The sequence below is a fragment of the Homo sapiens genome, chromosome 3 (genome assembly GCF_000001405.40).
Source record: "Homo sapiens chromosome 3, GRCh38.p14 Primary Assembly".
Classification (NCBI taxonomy): Eukaryota; Metazoa; Chordata; class Mammalia; order Primates; family Hominidae; genus Homo; species Homo sapiens.
Genome location: NC_000003.12, coordinates 31,526,257 through 31,545,782, shown reverse-complemented (window position 1 = coordinate 31,545,782; position 19,526 = coordinate 31,526,257). Strand labels below are relative to the sequence as shown.

General features: G+C 41.0%; 1 protein-coding gene across 3 annotated transcripts in view, besides 9 other annotated features; it reads right to left on the bottom strand.

The window, feature by feature from the left end:
- STT3B (STT3 oligosaccharyltransferase complex catalytic subunit B) overlaps window positions 1–12,858 on the bottom strand; it is a 104,692-nt gene extending 91,834 nt beyond the window's left edge. For 2 of the 3 annotated variants that reach the window (NM_178862.3, XM_011533465.2), the window contains exon 1: window positions 12,471–12,858. In NM_178862.3, coding sequence (NP_849193.1) covers window positions 12,471–12,784 — 314 coding nt within the window. In that variant the 5' untranslated portion in view covers window positions 12,785–12,858. Of the gene's footprint in view, window positions 1–12,096; window positions 12,220–12,470 lie in introns of those variants that run through there. The other variant, XM_017005858.2, reaches the window with a different exon arrangement.
- Window positions 9,685–10,184: an enhancer, noted in NCBI's record as "H3K4me1 hESC enhancer chr3:31577091-31577590 (GRCh37/hg19 assembly coordinates)". NCBI's record gives its function as "activates a minimal SCP1, AML or CMV promoter by ChIP-STARR-seq in primed H9 embryonic stem cells {active_cell/tissue: H9 hESC(primed)}" and the evidence as "EXISTENCE:reporter gene assay evidence [ECO:0000049][PMID:30033119]".
- Window positions 10,185–10,686: an enhancer, noted in NCBI's record as "H3K4me1 hESC enhancer chr3:31576589-31577090 (GRCh37/hg19 assembly coordinates)". NCBI's record gives its function as "activates a minimal SCP1, AML or CMV promoter by ChIP-STARR-seq in naive H9 embryonic stem cells {active_cell/tissue: H9 hESC(naive)}" and the evidence as "EXISTENCE:reporter gene assay evidence [ECO:0000049][PMID:30033119]".
- Window positions 12,126–12,185: an enhancer, noted in NCBI's record as "active region_19630". NCBI's record gives its function as "activates an Ori minimal core promoter by ATAC-STARR-seq in GM12878 lymphoblastoid cells {active_cell/tissue: GM12878}" and the evidence as "EXISTENCE:reporter gene assay evidence [ECO:0000049][PMID:35858748]".
- Window positions 12,346–12,495: a silencer, noted in NCBI's record as "silent region_14163". NCBI's record gives its function as "represses an Ori minimal core promoter by ATAC-STARR-seq in GM12878 lymphoblastoid cells {active_cell/tissue: GM12878}" and the evidence as "EXISTENCE:reporter gene assay evidence [ECO:0000049][PMID:35858748]".
- Window positions 12,576–12,705: a silencer, noted in NCBI's record as "silent region_14162". NCBI's record gives its function as "represses an Ori minimal core promoter by ATAC-STARR-seq in GM12878 lymphoblastoid cells {active_cell/tissue: GM12878}" and the evidence as "EXISTENCE:reporter gene assay evidence [ECO:0000049][PMID:35858748]".
- Window positions 12,736–12,965: a silencer, noted in NCBI's record as "silent region_14161". NCBI's record gives its function as "represses an Ori minimal core promoter by ATAC-STARR-seq in GM12878 lymphoblastoid cells {active_cell/tissue: GM12878}" and the evidence as "EXISTENCE:reporter gene assay evidence [ECO:0000049][PMID:35858748]".
- Window positions 13,036–13,175: an enhancer, noted in NCBI's record as "active region_19629". NCBI's record gives its function as "activates an Ori minimal core promoter by ATAC-STARR-seq in GM12878 lymphoblastoid cells {active_cell/tissue: GM12878}" and the evidence as "EXISTENCE:reporter gene assay evidence [ECO:0000049][PMID:35858748]".
- Window positions 13,276–13,535: a silencer, noted in NCBI's record as "silent region_14160". NCBI's record gives its function as "represses an Ori minimal core promoter by ATAC-STARR-seq in GM12878 lymphoblastoid cells {active_cell/tissue: GM12878}" and the evidence as "EXISTENCE:reporter gene assay evidence [ECO:0000049][PMID:35858748]".
- Window positions 18,432–18,932: an enhancer, noted in NCBI's record as "H3K4me1 hESC enhancer chr3:31568343-31568843 (GRCh37/hg19 assembly coordinates)". NCBI's record gives its function as "activates a minimal SCP1, AML or CMV promoter by ChIP-STARR-seq in primed H9 embryonic stem cells {active_cell/tissue: H9 hESC(primed)}" and the evidence as "EXISTENCE:reporter gene assay evidence [ECO:0000049][PMID:30033119]".

Here is a 19,526-nt window from a genome sequence, read left to right as displayed (position 1 = left end):
TTGTGTTGAGCCACATTCAAAGCCGCTCTGGGCTGCAGGGTGGACAAGCTTGGTTTACAGATATATACATATGAGAGTTTTATTAAAAGATAGCAATGGAAACGTTAAACAAAATTCAGCATAATGTTGCCTAGTGCTAAGGGGGAAACTAAGGGGACAGGCTAAAGAAGAAACACAGCCAGATGTAAAATTGGTAATGTTCTGGTTTTGTGGTTGGCTAGGAGGTTCACAAGTATTTATCATTAAGTTTTATAATTATATATAGAATATGACAGCCCATTATATATGCAAGTTGTATGTTAAATATACTTCAATTTATTTAAAATTTATTTATAACTGTATATTATGTTGTGATTCTTACACAGTTATAACATCACTTAATGTTACATACTCTTTTCAAATGTCCAGAATGATTATTCCAAAAGGAAAACCTTTCATATAACAGCTGTTTCTATTTGACACTTCATTGAAATGCAGTAAATTATTTTAACAGCCAAAATAAAGTATTTAAACAGGTGAAAAGATCTTCCTTTCTAATGAAGTGACTGATTCATTTTAACAACTTTAGAAAAAAATCCTTATTTAAAAAGATTTTAGTTGCTCCTCAAACTCATGACTTATGACTGGCCTTTACAGTTTTAAGATTAGATTTATTTCATCTACTTCACAGTTTCATTATCCTGTTCCTTCAAATGCCATAAAGCTGCTTAGCATATTAAAATAAAAGCCTTCTTTAGCGATGGTCTAGAGTAAAAATCATCTTGGGATTGCAATTAAACTTATATGGAACAAGGTTATTAAATTTTAAAAATTAAGAGCATATGCAATGTTCCCCCCCCGCTCCCTGAGACAGAGTCTTGCTCTGTCACCCAGGCTGGAGTGCGGTGGTGCAATCTCGGCTCACTGCAACCTCTGCCTCCTGGGTTTAAGCAATTCTCCTGCCTCAGCCCGTCTAATTTTTGTATTTCTAGTAGAGATAGGGTTTCATCATGTTGGCCAGGCTGGTCTCAAACTGGCTAGTCTGGAACTCTTGACCTCATGATCCGCCTATCTCGGCCTCCCAAGTGCTGGGATTATAGGCATAAGCCACCGCGCCCCGTGCAAATGCTTTAAGTGTCAATGTCTTCAACAAACCCTGCTCACTGTAATAGATTTTTTTAAAGGCACACTGATGGACAAAGATTTGTTTTTAAAACAGCACACATTTTTAAAAGCAAAAACATCTTGTGAGATCATTACAGCATACTGTTTTAGGATTCACAGGAATACTGCCATTATTACATGGAATGATTCTATAACTAAAGAGCTGACCATTTTGTCAGGATTCAATGCATAATAAAAGAAAATAAAGACTTTATCTGGTTTATTTAACCCACAATATCTACAATATTCAATGATCCTCTCCAGTAATTAGACAAGAACAAAGCTATTTCCATTGCAAAGACACTTTAATGAAGACAAGCAACTTATTTTATCCCTAATGAGTATTTTTATTTAGTATCCTTTAACCTCTTATGGGAAAGTTTAAATGAGATCAGTCAGAGCTGTGATGGTTTCCTAAAGTGTTGCTTAATTTGCATATTAATTAACTATAATCATAAAGTTAAATCAAGAGCCATGAAACCAAATGAATCATTAATCCAACCCCACCCAAATTCATCATGTGCATGAATTTAGTATATTCTAACTAATGCCTATGTATGCAATGATAATTTCAATTCTTACTATTCCTTCGTATCAGAATATATTTCTCAAGTTCAATTAAAATGGCATCTTGTGAATTTTACTTCTATTGCTGTCATCTGTCTTTTTTCATTTCTCATTTGAAAAATAATAAAACTTTCATAACTCATATGGTTTTTGTATATTAACTGGTCTGTCTTCTCTTATTCAATGTTCCCTAACTAGTGAGTTAACACTGGAGACAGACCTCTGTAAGAGTTACTTGTACTTGGAAGAAATACTCAAGAAACTAAAATCTTCCTCAAAGTTCTTCCTAAGTTATCCATCCAGCCATTCATCTCCCAATTGTTGATGGCTGTCATGATGCTCACATATACCATTTCTTCCATAAGCATTATCCCTTTTCTTCATCAACTCTTCCCTTCTTCTATAAAGAATAATATGACATGTGTATTGAAACTGGGATTATGATGTTCACTGCACATGTGATCTTACTGACATCACAGTCAAATCCAAAATTTCAAAGTATTGCACAACAGAGACTTACTGTACTATTACTATTATGACCAAAACATAAAATGTGGTTACCATTAAAGATAAAGGATCTGTCTTAATATTCACTGTGCACTCACTATGTTCCTAATACTGTGTAGGATATTCTAGAAAGATTAGAAAAATGTTCTTGCCTTAAAGAATCTTTTGCCTCCCTACAATAATAGTAGTAAGTTATTATTATATTCATTAGAGGAAAAATGAGCACCAAAATTTAAATAATCATAACAGTACCTTACCAACTTTGGCAAAGAACAAATAACTTAAGTCTCCTTGAGTGTTTTTACATGCACAGGTGTTAAAATCTTCAAAATGGCTCTGGCCTAGTTAGCCAAATAAACAGTCCTAAGTAAAATTTAGTTTGTTTTGTATTAATAAAACCTGTACCTAGACCTCTCACGTAAGACACAGATGATCAATTGTGATTTCTGAGAGAAGTAGGCCTGGAATTTATTTCTTTCTCTTTTTTTTTTTTTTTTTGTGAGATGGAGTCTCACTCTGTTGCCCAGTCTGGAGTGCAGTGGCGCAATCTCGGCTCACTGCAACCTCTGCCACCCGGGCTCAAACAATTCTCCTGCCCCAGCCTCTCGAGCAGCTGGGATTACAGGTGCCTACCACCATGCCCAGCTAATTTTTGTAGTTTAGTAGAGACAGGGTTTCACCATGTTGGCCAGGCTAGTCTTGAACTCCTGACCTCATGATCCACCCTCGTGTAACCCAAAGTGCTGGGGTTACAGGCGTGAGCCACCACACCCAGCCAGCCTGGAATTTTTCTTAACAGTCAATATATCTCAGAAAAGAATCTCCATTTGAGGAATTCTACAAGAAATACACTAGAGGCGTTAAAAATAGCTTAAATCACTCAGTTGGACCATCATCCAAATAGAGCCTAATTTGAGCCATTTATATTACTCTCTGGCAGGTACACATGGGATTTTGTGAAGATGGGATACAGTACGTATACCCACCCTAAGACACTTGGTTTAAATATTAAGTTTGAATTCTGTAGAAATACTGGCTGACTAAACAGAGTTTGAAGAAAGACAGTCCTAGATTTAAATTTTTCTTCAACAAAGAATTAACTATGACAGAAATGCAATATATGCAAAATTGCTACATCTACACAAATAAACAACAAAATACCTCAAAACCAGGATTGACAATCTCTACAAATATATCAATACAGCAAACAGTCCATGCCCAGGGTTTTCCTAAATTCCTCAGCTCAGACCTCCAGTTCCAGTATTCTCTTTCCTGCTTTCAAGAAGTATCAAGCAACCAATGCCTTCTTTATGCCAATTTTAATATACAATACTTTAATAGTTGACAAAAAGCCATAGTTTAAAACCAGTCATTTTGCATTTATCTGATTATCATTTGTCTCCTTAAAGACGATGTCTCTCTCTTCTCTCCCACCCACTTTCTTGTATTTTTGGTTTCTGTAGAAAAATTAAATCTCTGGACAATTAGTACCTTAAAACAAAGTTGTCAAAGTTACTCTAGTCAAGGATGACTCCACCTCAAGGGTTCAGCCTTGAGATAATTTTTTTAAATCTCAAGTGAAAAGAAAAATACCTTCCCTTTCTCTTTCCTAGAGGCACCTCCCGCTATAAAAGAACAGGCAACCCCGTCAGGTGAATAAGACACCTGGTTAGCCAAATTATTGCTGAAATGCCGGGCGTGGTGGCTCACGCCTGTAATCCCAGCACTTTGGGAGGCCGAGGAGGGTGCATCACGAGGTCAGGAGTTCGAGACCATCCTGGCTAACACGGTGAAACCTCGTCTCTGCTAAAAACACAAAAAATTAGCCGGGCATGGTCGCGGGCGCCTGTAGTCCCAGCTACTCAGAAGGCTGAGGCAGGAGAATGACATGAACCCAAGAGGTGGAGCTTGCAGTGAGCTGAGATCGCGCCACTGCAATCCAGCCCGGGCAACAGAGAGAAACTCCATCTAAAACAAACAAACAAACAAAAAAATTATTGCTGAACTTTATTACTTACGTACATATTGTCAACAATCCTTTGACCAACAAGGATGAATCTTAAAGAAAATGCTCAGCCAAAAAAAAAAAAAAACAAAAAAAGAAAAAAAAAGACACAAAAGCCACAATTCCATTTATCTGAAGTTTAAAAATAGGCAAAACTAAATTGTATTGTTTAGCAATGCACACAGAGTTTACCACCTATGAGAAAAAGGAAGGATGTCATCACTATAAAGTCAGGGGGTGGAAGGGATTGAGAAACACACCAGGTCGTCTAAGGTAGTGGCAATGATCTTGATCTGGGTAATAGTCACATGGGTGTTCACTATACTTTAGATTTATATTTTTCAGGATGCGTCATACTTCATCATAAAAGAAAATTGCTTTAAAAACTGAAACTGAATTATCTTTTCTCCTCTAATGAAATCCTTTGCAGAACTCATTTCTTTGCTCTTGTTTATAGAAACATTTAAGACTTATTTTCAAAGAATATAACTGTACAAGAGTGCTGCCTCCCATAGTTCTGTACTCCATTTCTGATGTGGGTTACATAAATAAGATGTATAATAATTTACTTTAATAATAAACCTTCTTAAACTGGGTATAGTCTACAGGTGTTACTGGTATTTTAAGAATAGGCATCAAATAATAAACGTGTGGTAGGCATGGTGGTCACAAGTGAGTTTCCAGTTATGATCCTTTTCTCCAACTCCTTATGGCCTGTGTTCTCCTAAAGATAAATTTGGTCAGCAACAAACAATAATTTAAGCTGTGGATATACTAGAATTTTGAAAAATCACACTACATTTTAATTTTTTTAACAGTATGGGCAACAACATAAAATTTTACCTTCAACATTAGTATTTGTATATATATGTATATCTTATACGCTACAACATTATCTATCTATTGTGGGGCGGGGAGGCAGGGGACAGAAAGTGAAACAAAGCACCAATATTTAAAGTTTAAAACAATGCATTTGAAGGATTTTATAGGTTGCAGGGATAGCTAGATATCACCAAAGAAAAGAATACCATACTGGGGAGAAAAGTCTTTACTTGAGAACAGCTAATAAATCTGTAAGGCATGAAACAAAAAAGAAAAGAAAACCCCAAAAGAAAATATTATCAACTTGGTTATCAACTAATCATTAATACTTTAACACTTTACTAATATAAACAAAATTCCTTTACATGTCTTCATGCAGTAACATTTCCCTTTTAATAGGAATGAGCAAACAAGGTAAAAAAGAATAAAGTTTTAAAATTTATACTGCTAATTTATGGAGATTACAGACAACCAGTACACACAATTTTTTTAAATAATTCCAAATGAGTCAAGCTTCACACAAAAGCTCTATTTGTTTCCAAATCTAAGCCTGAATTGTCAACATTTACGATATTGTAAATTTAAACTAAGTGGTAGAAAGTAACTTCCCCTCATCTTCTGAAGTAACAATTTCAAACGACTTCTCAAAATATTCCCTTCTACAGCAAACATAGGTGCAAAGAAAATGGAAAAGAATCTAGCCAAGCTATAATTGTATCACCTTAGAAAAAGTATTATCCTTCTGGTCCTTAGCTTCTTAGAAAATAGAAACAGGGGGCCAACACATACACTAAAAATCCTGTGGGTTATAGAATTCTGAGTCTACTCTGAAAGTTCAGCTCTCCATCTCCCAATTCCCTTAACTGGCATGGCTTAAGACTTCCAATCTCATTATTATGAACTTTTTATAGACAAAATAAATCTAAATAAGAACAATATTCAGTTGGATTTGATCATCTTTTCCTCTCATTCAGCTACTCTCTTCAGAGTTTCCGAAAATCCCATAGTAATTGAAGGTTAAAAGTCTTAACCATCAACTCATCTCTTCGCTCCATCAAAACAATCAAAGTAATCAGCTATTATCCAACTAGTAAGCTTAGTTAGCTACAGCCCGGATTGTGAAGAGGTATTCTGATAGACCAGTATTTTAAGACTTAAGTTGGGGCACCTGAATAAAAAACATAAATTAAACAGAGGACACTTTTATTTAAGCTGGCCCTGGAGGCAGAGGGTGTGGTAAGAGGAACAGACTTTGGAATCTGGCAGATCTGTATCCTTCAATTCTTGTGGGAAATACTGAATTGAATTATCTTTTGTCTATGGAAATAAAAGATGTTACCTCATCTCCTCAATTCTAAGATGTCACTGGATTGTAAAACACTGTAAAAACTAAGCATCTACTATCATTTAGAACATATATTAAAGTTATCTTGCAACATTAAATTCCACAGAAAGAAAAGAAATAGACATGGTTGAGAGTGGTCAATTAGTGCCAACAGTCACAATTGTTTAGAGATTTGTTTGTCTACAAATAGTACAACCTTGAACAACATAAAGAGGCATTCACTAATTTATGTACACATTATATTCCAAAACATGTTTAGATGTTTTTCATCTGAAACTATGGAAGTATTTTTCCAAAGACATAAAATTCTAAATAATGGTTAGATTTCCTGGCAAGCCTACAAATGCAGATTAACATACATTTACCTAAATATGGGAGCCTCTGGGCAACTGATCCTATCTCCCCCAACGCTAATCCTCACCTCCTAATATATTCGACTTTAAAAACAAACAAAAAACCCTACAGTATTCCACTTTCTATCAATTTCTAAATTCCCAGAAATTACTCATGGTCAGAAGTAGGTAAGAAGAGGACAACAGAAGCCTTCTCAGAAGAGTTACTGGTTTAAATACAAAAAGCATCCACCAGAATCAGGTAGATAGACGGTTGAAGACAGAGTAGCAGGTTAACCATTTACAGGTTTTCCCCTTTCAACAGTATTAATTTGGCCCATATAGTATATCAGTGGGTCCTATACTATTTGGAAATGTTTTTCTTTTTTCCTATTTATTGCAGGGATTTACAGAAGTCACTGTTGCAATCACACTAAAGCTAAACCATTACCTCTGGATGAAAGATGGCAGAGACAACAGGCTGACCTATAAAAGCCTTCTAATAATTCAAGGAATTTAGGAGTTTCACATAAATTACACCTAACAAAACCAACATCAACATCAATATCCATCTAACCACTTTAGAGTTTCTTCTGAGACACCAGATTCAGCAAACTCAAGTCATTTAACAGATGTGGGGCTAATGCACTGATTTACAATGCACTCAGGTAAGTTGCTAACCAAAACCTGGAATGATGGAATCTGATCCTAACTTCACTCTGAGGATACTGAAACAGCATGTATATACATATGTTCAAATAATATAGAAAACAAACACTATGTAGAAATAAATCCTCTTTATCATGGTGTTGGGGAACAAAGATGGCATTCTTCATATCATAGTAACAATGTCTGTCTACAAGCAGGATTTAAAAGTAGTAATGGATAGGAAGATATGCTAAAGCAAAATATTAATTGTAGAATCTAGGTGGTTAGAGTATATGAGTGTTCACTATAAAATTCAACTTTCTTGTGCATTTGAAAATTTTTATAATAGTTTAGCAATAGGTCTGTTGAATTGTGGGGTCTTTATAATTCAAGTTAACTGCAGTATTTTCACTCCCTAAGATCATTAAGTTTTAAAAGTAAACAAATTGAGGGGAAAAACATGATTTGGTCACTTGAGAATAATATTAACCTTTCCATCCTTCATTTCGGAGAGCACGTGTGCACAGACGAATACTAAGATATAACAATAAAGATAAATGTTAACATTTTCTCAAACACTCAAAACTTATAGAGAGTATAAAAATTGATTAGGTACAGAAGGGCTAGTTAAGTTAGCCCATATTCATTAACAACTGGGTCAGAGATTATGATGTAAATCCTTATATTGAGCTTCTAATGTTTATAACCAATGTTGTCTTTATGCAAACTACTCATGGCAGTAAGGGGCATGCAGTCCTACCCAAGTTAACCTTTACGATATGAAAACCATAAAGGGGGAAGGAAAAGTCCCAAGGGCATTCATGACAGACCCTAACTACCGTAGGGCCTATACATCATGAAATCTATGATTACTACTTATGGAAGCCATCACACTCAACCGAAATGGGAGTAGCACCAATCTTATCATAAATTCATACAATTTAATTGTCAATGCAATCAGTAACAGTGATACCTGGTCTGAAGTGCAGCTGGACTGCTGATGCTAATGATCCCACAAAGTGACTTTTTAAGATTTGGGGACGTTTGTGTTCTAAAACTGGTTTGGCTACCAATTTGTCTTCTTCAGAACTGAGGTCAACAGCCTCTTTTTGTCATCTGCAAAGTGAAGGAAAACATGGAGACCTCAAAGTACAGGAAGTAGTCCCCAACTTCTAACAGCTTATGTTCCAAAGGTTTATCATTCCTTTGAAAACACATCTGTACTAATTAACCAATTTATACCATAGTTTCTTCGGAAAAATTGCATTCTAAGTTCCAACTCTAACTTGCAACTTTCTGCCCAGCAAAAAGGCGTCTGCTGCATTTTTGCTAACTACAGCCAAAACCTAAGGCTCAGAGAATTCTCTCTAGGGAGAACCCACTTTATAACCTGCTAAGGCAGGGAAAAAAGAGCTCTCACATAGGGAACTTCATTGCTTCTATGGGAAAGGCTACCACAATTGAACAAGATAATGGATATGGAGAAGGTATCTGGCTAATATAAAGTAAAAGTATTATCTCTTACAATAAAAATATGTAGAAAACACATTTTGTTCCAGATAAAAAGGTATAGTTAAGTGCTGTTAAAGTGGCTGATTAACCAAACGTTTGGCAAGTACAGACAATATATTTTCAAACTGCTTCCTCCTATCTGTTCAACTCAGCTGATAAGGGAGGAATTACTAAAGTGAAGTCAAATTGTTACCAAAAATGTTGCTAAATGTTAAAAAAGTGCAGTGTACTTCAATAAATAAATCACACATCACCCCTTATGACAACTGGTAAGATAAATAACTTGGGTGACAAATTTAAAAAACAAGTATAACTCTGTGACGTCACTTTCAGCAGCTAACTTGAGTCTTTTACACAATTTAAGAACTACTGTAAAATTTAAAGAAATAGCTCACAGAGAAAGTAAACCCTTCACTAAAACGACTTGCAGAAATGAAACCATTGATAGAGATATGGAAAAAGAGGTCAGGGAAGGTATGAGCAGGCCAGAATAAATCGGTTTGTGGATGCACAGCCTGAGAGTAACATTTAAATATTATTAAAGGTCTGTGCCATTGCTATATGATATGATGGTGATCTGAGCAACTCCCAAACTAGAAACACTAGAGTGTTCAGCTACAGACCAGTTAAAGTGTTGCGACTATTAGTAGCTATAGAAGAAAACTAGATTTAAAAGCCCCGAAAAGCTTTAAAAGCCCAAAGTAATAATGGCAGGCAATCTACACATCCCCCTCCTTTTAACCTTTTCAAAAAGAATGACTGTAAGAATCAGATAAGAATGAATGAGATGCCTAACTACGTGAGATCTTCAAAAGACATGAAAAAAAAACAAGAACAAGGTATTTTTTTTGTCTGAAACCTGATTCTCTCATTAAGTCACCTGAATTAGACATTATATTAGATTCATACTGACAAATCTCCATTCACGGTAAGGCACAGGAGACAGTCCATTATTATACAAATCTCCTTACTACTAAGCAAGATTATCTAACATTATGAATATAAACATTTAATTAAGAAATGTCAACATTAAAACTATATGCAGAATACCTAAATTAAGTAGCTCTTTAAAACAGAGATGTATACTTTCAAATGGTACAAATTTAGCTAAATGATAATGTGTCAGAAATGCGTTTTCATATATATAAAAAATGAAGCAAAACATATTTTCTTTTTTGAGTCGGAGTTTCGCTCTTTGTTGCCCAGGCTGGAGTGCAGTGGCGCGATCTCGGCTCACTGCAACCTTCGCCTCCCGGGTTCGAGAGATTCTCCTGCCTCAGCCTCCCAAGTAGCTGGATTACAGGCGCCCGACACCACTCCCGGCTAATTTTTGTATTTTTAGTAGAGAGGGGGTTTCACCATGTTGGCCAGGCTGGTCTCGAACTCCTGACCTCAGGTGATCCACCTGCCTCGGCTTTCCGAAGTGCTGGGATTACAGGCGTGAGCCACCGCGCCCGACCAAAACATATTTTCATGTGCATGAAAAAGAATTATGCCCTCCAACCACACTACTGAAGCTGGAAAAAGAAAACTTTTAATACTTAGCTACACTAAAAAAAAAAAAATAATAAAAATAAAAAATAAAAAATAAAAATATTAGCCACTTTACTTGTTGAGCCTTTTCATTATTGCATTACTCAATTTTAGTGGGGATCTTTGGCTGACTTGATGCAGATTTCTAATCTTAAGGAAAAATGACCAAAATCTCATCATTCAGTAGTGAATTTTTCTGCAATCTTTAATTTCAGCCCCAGAGTTACTATTAAACAGTCGTTAGCCTTCCATTTGTAAAAATGTTACTATGGAAATATTCACAATTTTGTTACCTGAAATGTTTGGTCAACCATGCATTTCTGCTATTTTAATCTGAAAAGAGAACTTTCTCTTTTCATATTGTCCAGTAAATACTAGTTTTCATTTTCTGGTTCCAATTTCATTTTTATCTAACTTGCTTAAGTATTTCAAAACAAGACCACCTAATAATATTGTGTCAATAAGCCTTCACAGGTATTCTTAGGCTCATAAATAGTCTACACTAACATATTTTCTTCTGTGATTGCACGTTAACAAAAAGGTTATTTTTTAAAAAAACTAGTGTTAGAAAACAAAATCAAAACTTCTAAAATGGAATGAAAACATTTCATGGAAGACTGTCACAGTAATTAACTGATCTAAATTGAATTGTCCATGAGTGGGCCCCTCTGGTGTTCAATAGATGTTGCAGTACCAATTTTTCTCTCCATAATGCAGAACTTAAATCTGGTATATTACTATACAGGTAAGTTACTGCCCCCCTCCACCCGAACACTTATTATCTATATAGTTAGTAACTCTCAAAAAAGACTCTCTCTCTTTGAATCTCAAATGATGAAACAAATATCCTGAAATTTAATTAGGTCTAACTGTGAGGAAGTAAGATTAACTCAAGGTTGACAGGTCAATAAGATAACACTAGTTTAAAAGGCATACTCTCAGAGGGGAAAATCCTAACTCAGGGGGAAAAATCCTAACTCGGGTTGGGCAAGTTGCGAAAAAAAAGTTAAAGCAATCTTTCCATCTAGATAATTCACAGACCAATGTAGTGTCTAAGTTAGCTAGTGTTGTTAAGAGTGGGGTAATTTCCTAAAACATTCAGGTCAGTCCCTTACACCATGTGCAACTTCGGTATTACAATCTAGGACTCCCATCACCGTGGTACTGTTTGCTCTTATCCACAAACCTTCCTGCAGACCAATAAAGGAACTAATGCAATGCTTTCAGATACTGTGCATAACACACTAAGGGTGACAGTGGCTAACAGGGTAAGGATCTTGTTCTAAAAAGCAACCCAAGACGATAGTGAAACAGTAAGGTGCTGAGTGCACTTAAGAGCTCTGAAAAAAAGCCACTCTTTAAAATACCTAATGATAAATAAATAAGAGTAGCTAGCTTTCAGATCACTTTCAGGGGTATTATTTCCTTCCCTCCAACACGCCATTCACTCTCCTTTTCCCTTCTCGTATCATGAGAGCATAAAAAGAAACAGTAAAAGCGTAAAACTGCAAGGGTGAGCAGCCGGGGTTCCGGCACATCTGGACCCACCTCCAGCGGCAACAGGGCAGCCCCCCTGGCCGATTCCGTCTGAACTAGCAAAAACGCGCCCGCAAATATGAAAGAACGCGAAAGCAGCGGGCGAGGAGGGCGGGGAATCGACCGACAGTCCGCGGAGGAGCTACCTGCCGCCTCCTGGCGTGGCGGGTCCGGACTCAGCGACCAAAGCGGGCTGCGAGGGACTGCACCCACACTCCCGGCGGCTGCACCCACACTCCCGGCGGCTGCATCCACACTCCTGGCAGTCTTCACACTAGCCCGGCCGAGAATCAAGGTTTCGCTCCTGGACCCCGACGCCCCGCCTCAGGCTGCACGGGGCAAACTTCGCCCACGGGCAGGGGGCGCGCCCGGAGCTCCGGGATCCGCGCCGGCCTCAGCCAGGACGCGAGCGGGGCTCCGCGGCGGCGCGGGGCCAAGTCGAGGAGAGCTGCGGCGGGCGGAGGAGCGGGTCCCGGTTCCCCGCGGGCCACGGGCGGGGGAGGGGCGGCGAGGCACTTACCACGGGTCGAACTCGTGGATGATGCTTTCGAAGCGGATGACGGCGAAGAGGCGCGAGCTGAAGCCGGCAAGCCAGGCCAGGAAGAGGATGGTGAAGGAGAGAAGCGACTGCCACCCAGCCGGCTGCGACAGCCCCCCGGACAGCCCCGCCGGGGCCGGCTTCGGCGGCGCCGCGCCGCCCGCCGCCTTGTGCGCGCACTGGGCCCCGGGCCCGTGGTGGCCGTGCCGGCTGTTTCCCAGGGCCATGAGGCCACTCCACGGGGACGAGTTGAGGGACGACTTGTGCTTGCTCTCCGGGGCCGAGGGCTCCGCCATGTTGTGCCCCGGCGGCGGGTCTAGCTCTCCTCCTCCGCCGCCGCCGCCTGGTGCGAGGGGTGCTGGGCGGGGACCCGGAGGAGGAGGAGGAGGAGGAAGAAAAAGGAGGAGGGAAGAGCTCTGCGCGCTCCCGCCCTCAGCGCCGCGAGGCCGGCGGACTGGGGGTGGAGGAAGCGGCGGCGGGGAGTCTCCGCCTCAGCAGCGGCCGCAATCGCCGCTCTCTCAACCCAGATGGCCCCGGCGCCCCACTAGCCATCCGTATCCCCAGTGCAGCTGCGGCGGCGGCGGCGAAAGCCGACGGGACGAGGGCGCCAGGAAAGAAGCAGCAGACGGAGGCGGCACCACGGCTCTGAGAAGCAATGACATTCCCTCTCTAGCCCGCCGCCCGCCCAGCCGAAAGGAGCAGGGGGAGGAGCCCCCTGGAGTCCGGGCGGAGCTCAAGCAACCTCTGACTCCGCCTCCGGCCCGACAGGAACTGGCCCCTCCGCCTGTCACAAAGCGACAGGTCCGTTAGGGGGCGGGCCCAGAACCGCTGCGCCCACCAATAGGGGCGCGAGCTGGGGCGGAGCTTGACCCAACCGTCTCCCCCTCCCCCCCACCATCCCGGCCTCGCGCCGATTCGCCCGGAGTGGCCGAGCTGCGCGGCTACGGCTTCATTGTCAGTTGAAAGACGCGGTTTCGCGCGCCTGTGCGGTCGGCGAGAAAGGGTACTAGGCGGCTCCGCTAGGTTCATGGAGCTGAGCTGGGCCGAGGGGCGGGAACTGCGGAGCGGCCTCGGTCAAACTCGTCTTAAAGGACGCGGAAAGCGCCGCACCGACCAGCAGGACGCTCGCGGGCTCTCCGCGGTCGTGACTTTTAACCCGCTTTGCGCGGAGCCCTCACCACGTGACGGCCGCGCAGGCGCATTATCCTAGCCCTCGGCGCGTGGGTCGGGCCGAGGGGTTCAGCAGCCCGTGGCGCTCCTCGGCTGGCGCTGCGAGTGAGCCCGCGGCGGCAGTGACACAGCCTACCTTGCTCATTGCCCTTCACGTCCCGCCTCCGGCTTCTGCGGCCGCGGGAATCCGAGAATGTGAGCAAAGACAAGTTTTCCGACACCGAAAACTCGTTGGAACCGGCAAGCGCGCCCCTAGCTCCGGCAGGCAAAATGCGACCTTCTCTCGCCCTTTTTCGTTTGTACTCCGAATTGCGAAAGTACTGTATGTTCACTGGAAATATGGGAAAATGCAGAAATACATTAACGGCTGCATACATTCCGTCGAGTGAGTGAAACTAACTTACCCTGGACGTTAAGCTGTTTCCAGTTCTCACTTTACTAAATAATAATAGAACGAAGGTTCTTGTGCACGTCTACCTTGTATTTTTATAATTCCTTTCCTTTCCCCACTTCCCTCCTTGTCCGCTAAAATAAAGTGCTACCAGATAAACTCAGGGCAAAATGAGCTTAAACTAAGTGAGGTAGTGGGGAGACTCGAATTGCTCTTATATAAACCCCATAGAAAGTACGGAGCTTTCGGCGTAATCGGTGCTCAGTAAATACTTGTTCATGTCAATTCACAGCTAATTGTACATTTTATTAGGTAAGTAACATCTGGATATTAAAGGGCATATTAATGTAAAACTATAAAGGCCCTGAATTATTTTCTTAGGTGATTTAAATTTTTCTCTTTAACTACAAATTGTGTTTCAATATTAATAGAAGTCTTAAAATATTAGATAAATGAACCCTAGTTATTTTGAGGTAGCTCCTTGAAAGTAAGGCAACTCCAGCTACCCTTTTAACCTGCTAAGTGGTTACGTTTTGTCTTGTTTCCTTAAAAAAACCATAAATAGTCTTATTAAGGAAATAATGAAAAGGTTTCCAGAAATAGACTTTCTCACCAACAGTTTAATAGCCGACATTTATTGAACGTACACATTTTAATGAGAATTAGGATAAAATATTAACTGCCTCTGTTATACAGAGAAAGATGACATGCTTTTCCTCATAGCCCAAACGGTACATGCTGAAATGACAGCAGAGGATTTTTGTCTGTGTTCCCTGAACCAAAGTTTTATCAGTCTAAAATAAAATTTGTGTTTTTATTTTAATTTGTTTGGATATTTCTATTTTATTGTCTTTGTGTATCTATTCCCTAGTAAGTTCTACGTTATCTTCTTTTGCTTCCTGTTTTGGCTGTTTAATGGCCATAGGCCTGATCTGAAAAGTGACAAAGTGAAATAGTCCCAAATTGTTGCTTACTAGTCATGTAGCATTGGACAAGTCACCTGCATGGGTTGCCCTTTCTGCTCTTAAAGTCAGTTGTTAATATTAAAAAAGCTTATCTGAAAGCATTTTAGGAAATTGTTAAGGAACGTGCAAATACAGGGTAGTGGTAAAGGTGAAAAGCCCTACGAAAACCCCTTGATTTTTGACCTTCATTTATTCACTCATTCATTCAGCAAGTATATATTGAACTCCTTTATGCCGACCACTGTGAGTGAACTGGGATGCATGGGGATTCAGCTAGGAACAGGAAAGACAGGGCTCCTACTCTCAGAGAGTTCACCAGCCAGCCCTAGGAAGGGAGGTATTAACCAAATCATCAGATGGTTCAGGACCAAAATGCAGGGTGACAAACACTGTGGAGGACAGGCACATGGGGAATTTGATCTACACCAGAAGGATGAGAAACATTACCCTGAGGAAGCAGCACTGGAAGTGATGATGAACGGACGAGGAGAAGGAGAATGGAACGCGTTACATAGAGAAGCACGTGCAAAGGCACTGCAGTGGGGCAGGGGAGGCATACGAGTAACCCAGAAAAGTGGCTGCAATGCAGACAGTGGGACAAGGTGCAGTAGGAGTCAAAGGAATGGCCGGGTAGTGTAGGTCCTTTTAAGAGGTGTTTTTTGCTTCATGTTAACTTCAGAATATTGAGAAGCCATAAAGGGTTTTAAGCAGCATGTAGTGTATTTGAGATAGAGGGAGAGAGTTGATCAGATGTGTGTTTTGAAAAGATTACCAAGGCTGCAATGTGAAAAGCATTTTGGAGAGGAGACCAGTAAAAGCTCTACCTGAGAATTCAGAGATTACTTTTGTGAGGAATATGCTATTGTGGAACCACTAGAGAACCCATAAAAATAAATTGCAGCATTGTGAATTCACAATTTCTAGCCTATCAACTTGGAAAAATTGTTTACAGTTTGTGATGAAGCTTGAATGTGTTTGCCCCTTTGCACTTGAGGTTCTAATCCTGCTAGGTGCTTGTAACATCCTCCTGAGTTCAAATATCTCAGGAGTCAATCAAACACTATGGGTGCAACATGATGAGCAGAGTGGTGTGACATCAGAGGCCCAGCTTCCAGGGGAAGGGAGTATTTGAGTTGAAACTTGAGGGGTGAGCAGAAGTTCACAAGACACACCAGGAAGAGGGATGGGGGATTCCAAGAAGGAACGAGGAAGTCCTTCAAATTAATACACAAAGTTTAATATTAATGAAGGTGCATTGGGAGATGAGACTGAAAGAGGGATAAGAACCAGATTATCAAGGACTTGTCTGCCTGGTAAAGGAGTTTATTATTCTGTAAGCAGCTGGGATTCATTGAAACATTTTGAACAACAATAACATGATCAGACTTGGTTGATGGAAGAAAAAAATTGACAGTAGTATGAAAGATGTACTGGAAAGGGTGAGAGTGGAAGCAGAGAAACCAATAAGGAAGCATTTACAGAAATTTAGGCAAGAGAATTAGGTACCAAAACTGGGACAGTAGGGCTCAGAGAGGAGAGGACTGATAGGAGAGGTATCAAGAGGGTAGAGTCCAGAAATTGGTGATTGGGGTAAAATAAAAGTAGGGTTTAGGACAAATCTGGAGTTTCTGGTTTAGTTATTTGGATGGAAAGTGATGTCTCAGAAATAGGGAGCAAAGGACAAGCAGCAGATTTGGAGGGGAGATGATCAAATCAGCTTTGGAGATGTAATGTTTTAAGTCCCTGTAGGACATCCAAGAGGAGCTGGATAACAGACACTTAAAGAGATGTGATGTTCAGGAGGAAGGGTTTTCTGGGATAAAGGCTTGGGACTCCATGGCTACGGGTGAAATTTTGCTGGAATCAAGGCTATAGACAAGGAGACAAGGGTTGAGGATAGAGCCCTAAGGACTTTCCAAATTTAGATGTGCCTACAGGGAGCCCAAGATAGAGCAATGTCCCAGCAGTGAAGAAAGGGAAATAAAGTGAAGTCAGAAGCAGCACAAGGTACAGAGAAATGGAGTGTGACACAGCTGAAAAGTGTACCTTTCTTTTGGCAACCAGGAGTTCACCAATTACTTTAGCAAGGTCAATTTTAGTGGAGTCATAGGGGCAGAAACCAGATGGCAGCAGGTGAGAAGGGATCAGTGGCAAGGGATGTGGAGGCAGAGAATGTATACCACCCTTTCTAAAAGTCTGGTTTCAAAAGCACAGACAGGACCAAATCAGACCAAGAAAAAACTAAATTACGATCCGCAGTCCCTAGCCTTTCCCACAGTGATCAAGAAAAGATTTAAGTGCCTGTGATGTGTCCCAGGAATGACACAGGTCGGAGAGTGGGTTTCATTCTTCCTAGAGAAACACAAACAACAAGACATGTACGCTTGTACTAGACACACCACACTAGGGGGCTGCTACGGTCTACAATATAATTGACATTTGCAAATATCTGGTAACTGAGGGAATTCCCAATGCTTATATTGTCCCTTTCTGACAAGCACCTGTCAAAGAACCTCCCTGGTAGTCCATAGCCCCAGTAGAGGAGAGAAGCAGAGAGGGAGAAAAAAGATTTGAGCTAGGTATGCTGCTAAGTGGTACTGTGTGGTGGTTTAGAGCACAGGCTCTGCAGACACGCTGGGTACCAAATCTTGACTTTAGTTCTTCTGAGTCACATGGCTTTTGGCAAGCTACTTCCCATCTCTGCTCCTTGGTATCCTCATCTTTACAGCGTAGATAAGCACTGAACCTTTCTCTTAGGGTTATAAGAAGAAATAAATGAATCAATACATGAAAATAACTTAGGACAGTGCCTGGCGCAAAGGAAATATTCAATATATGTTGGTTATTAACAATATCACTGGTACTACTGCTATATTCAGAACCATGACAGATGGGCTATGAGACTTACTCCCCTGGATAGCCTTAAAATAATTCTCCATGACCCGAGCCCATACGAGTGCTTCTTTATTTCTTTAAGCCAGAAAATGCCTGCTTCAAATAAAACACCTTACAAAGTTAGGCAATACCTAGCTGCTGATAATGAATAATAACCTCCAATTTATAATCCAATAGAACTGGGGTCTGCAACTTTTTTTGTAAAAGGCAACACAGTAAATATTTTCATCTTTGTGGGCCATGCTGTCTCAGGCTACTACTCAACCCTGTTGTTGTAGTGTGAAAGTAGCAATGGACAATATGTAAGAGAACAGGCATGGCTGTTCTTCAGTAAACACAACCACACCTGCAGACCAGAGTTTGTTGGCCTTTGCGGTAGATGATAAGGGGATTGCTGTGATCTAATCTAGCTCAAAATCCAGTATGAGGCAGAGAATGTTTTCTATCATGATCACTGTGAAGAGTGAGAGCTTGTGTCTGGGCAGTCATCAAGGACATGTTCATGAAGTGATTGGCCTTAAAGAATAGGTAGAATGTTGGCCGGAAGCTGTGGCTCACGCCTGTAATCCCAGCACTTTGGGAGGCCAAGGCAGGTAGATCACAAGGTCAGGAGTTTGAGACCAGCCTGGCCAATATGGTGAAACCCCCATCTCTACTAAAAATACAAAAATTAGCCGGGCATGGTGGTGCACACCTGTAATCCCAGCTACTCAGGAGGCTGAGGCAGGAGAATGGCTTGAACCTGGGAGGCGGAGGTTGCAGTAAGCCGAGATCACAGCACTGCACTCCAGCCTGGGTGACAGAAAGAAAAAAAAAAAATGAATAGGTAGGATGTTGACAAGTGAGATTTGGAGTGTGGGAAGGATGCATTAGAAGCAGAGGAAGGCCGGGGGCGGTGGCTCACGCCTGTAATCCCAGCACTTTGGGAGGCCGAGGCGGGCGGATCACGAGGTCAGGAGAAGGAGACCACGGTGAAACCCTGTCTCTACTAAAAATACAAAAAAATTAGCCCGGCGCGGTGGCCGGCGCCTGTAGTCCCAGCTGCTCGGGAGGCTGAGGCAGGAGAATGGCGTGAACCCGGGAGGCGGAGCTTGCAGTGAGCCGAGATCGCGCCAATGGACTCCAGCCTGGGCGACAGAGCGAGACGCCGTCTCAAAAAAAAAAAAAAAAGAAAAAAAAAAAAAAAAGCAGAGGAAAAGGAAAAACAAAGCCAAGCAGGGGACACTTGGAAATGAGCCAGTAATCTACAGCTGAGATGCAGTGTCACATTTTATCTTTATTTGCTACCATTGAAACAACACAACACTCTAGTCTTAAAATTCCAGATCATATATAGGAAATTAATTTTCTATTTTAGTACTTTTGAAAATTCACATTTCTATGCCCACTATCTCATGGTTTTCATAGAAGGACATTGTAACAGTGAGGCACACATTTGATTTCAAAAAGGGCCAAAGGATAATGGCTTAAACAAATAGAAGTTTATTTTCTCTCATAAAGTGAAATTCAGAGAAAGGTGGTTGCTGGTATGAAGTCAGTTGCTCAACAAAGCTTTCAACTTTTTCTGTCTTTATACTCTTTGCTGGATTCTCGGATGTCATTTTCACCCCCTTTTAT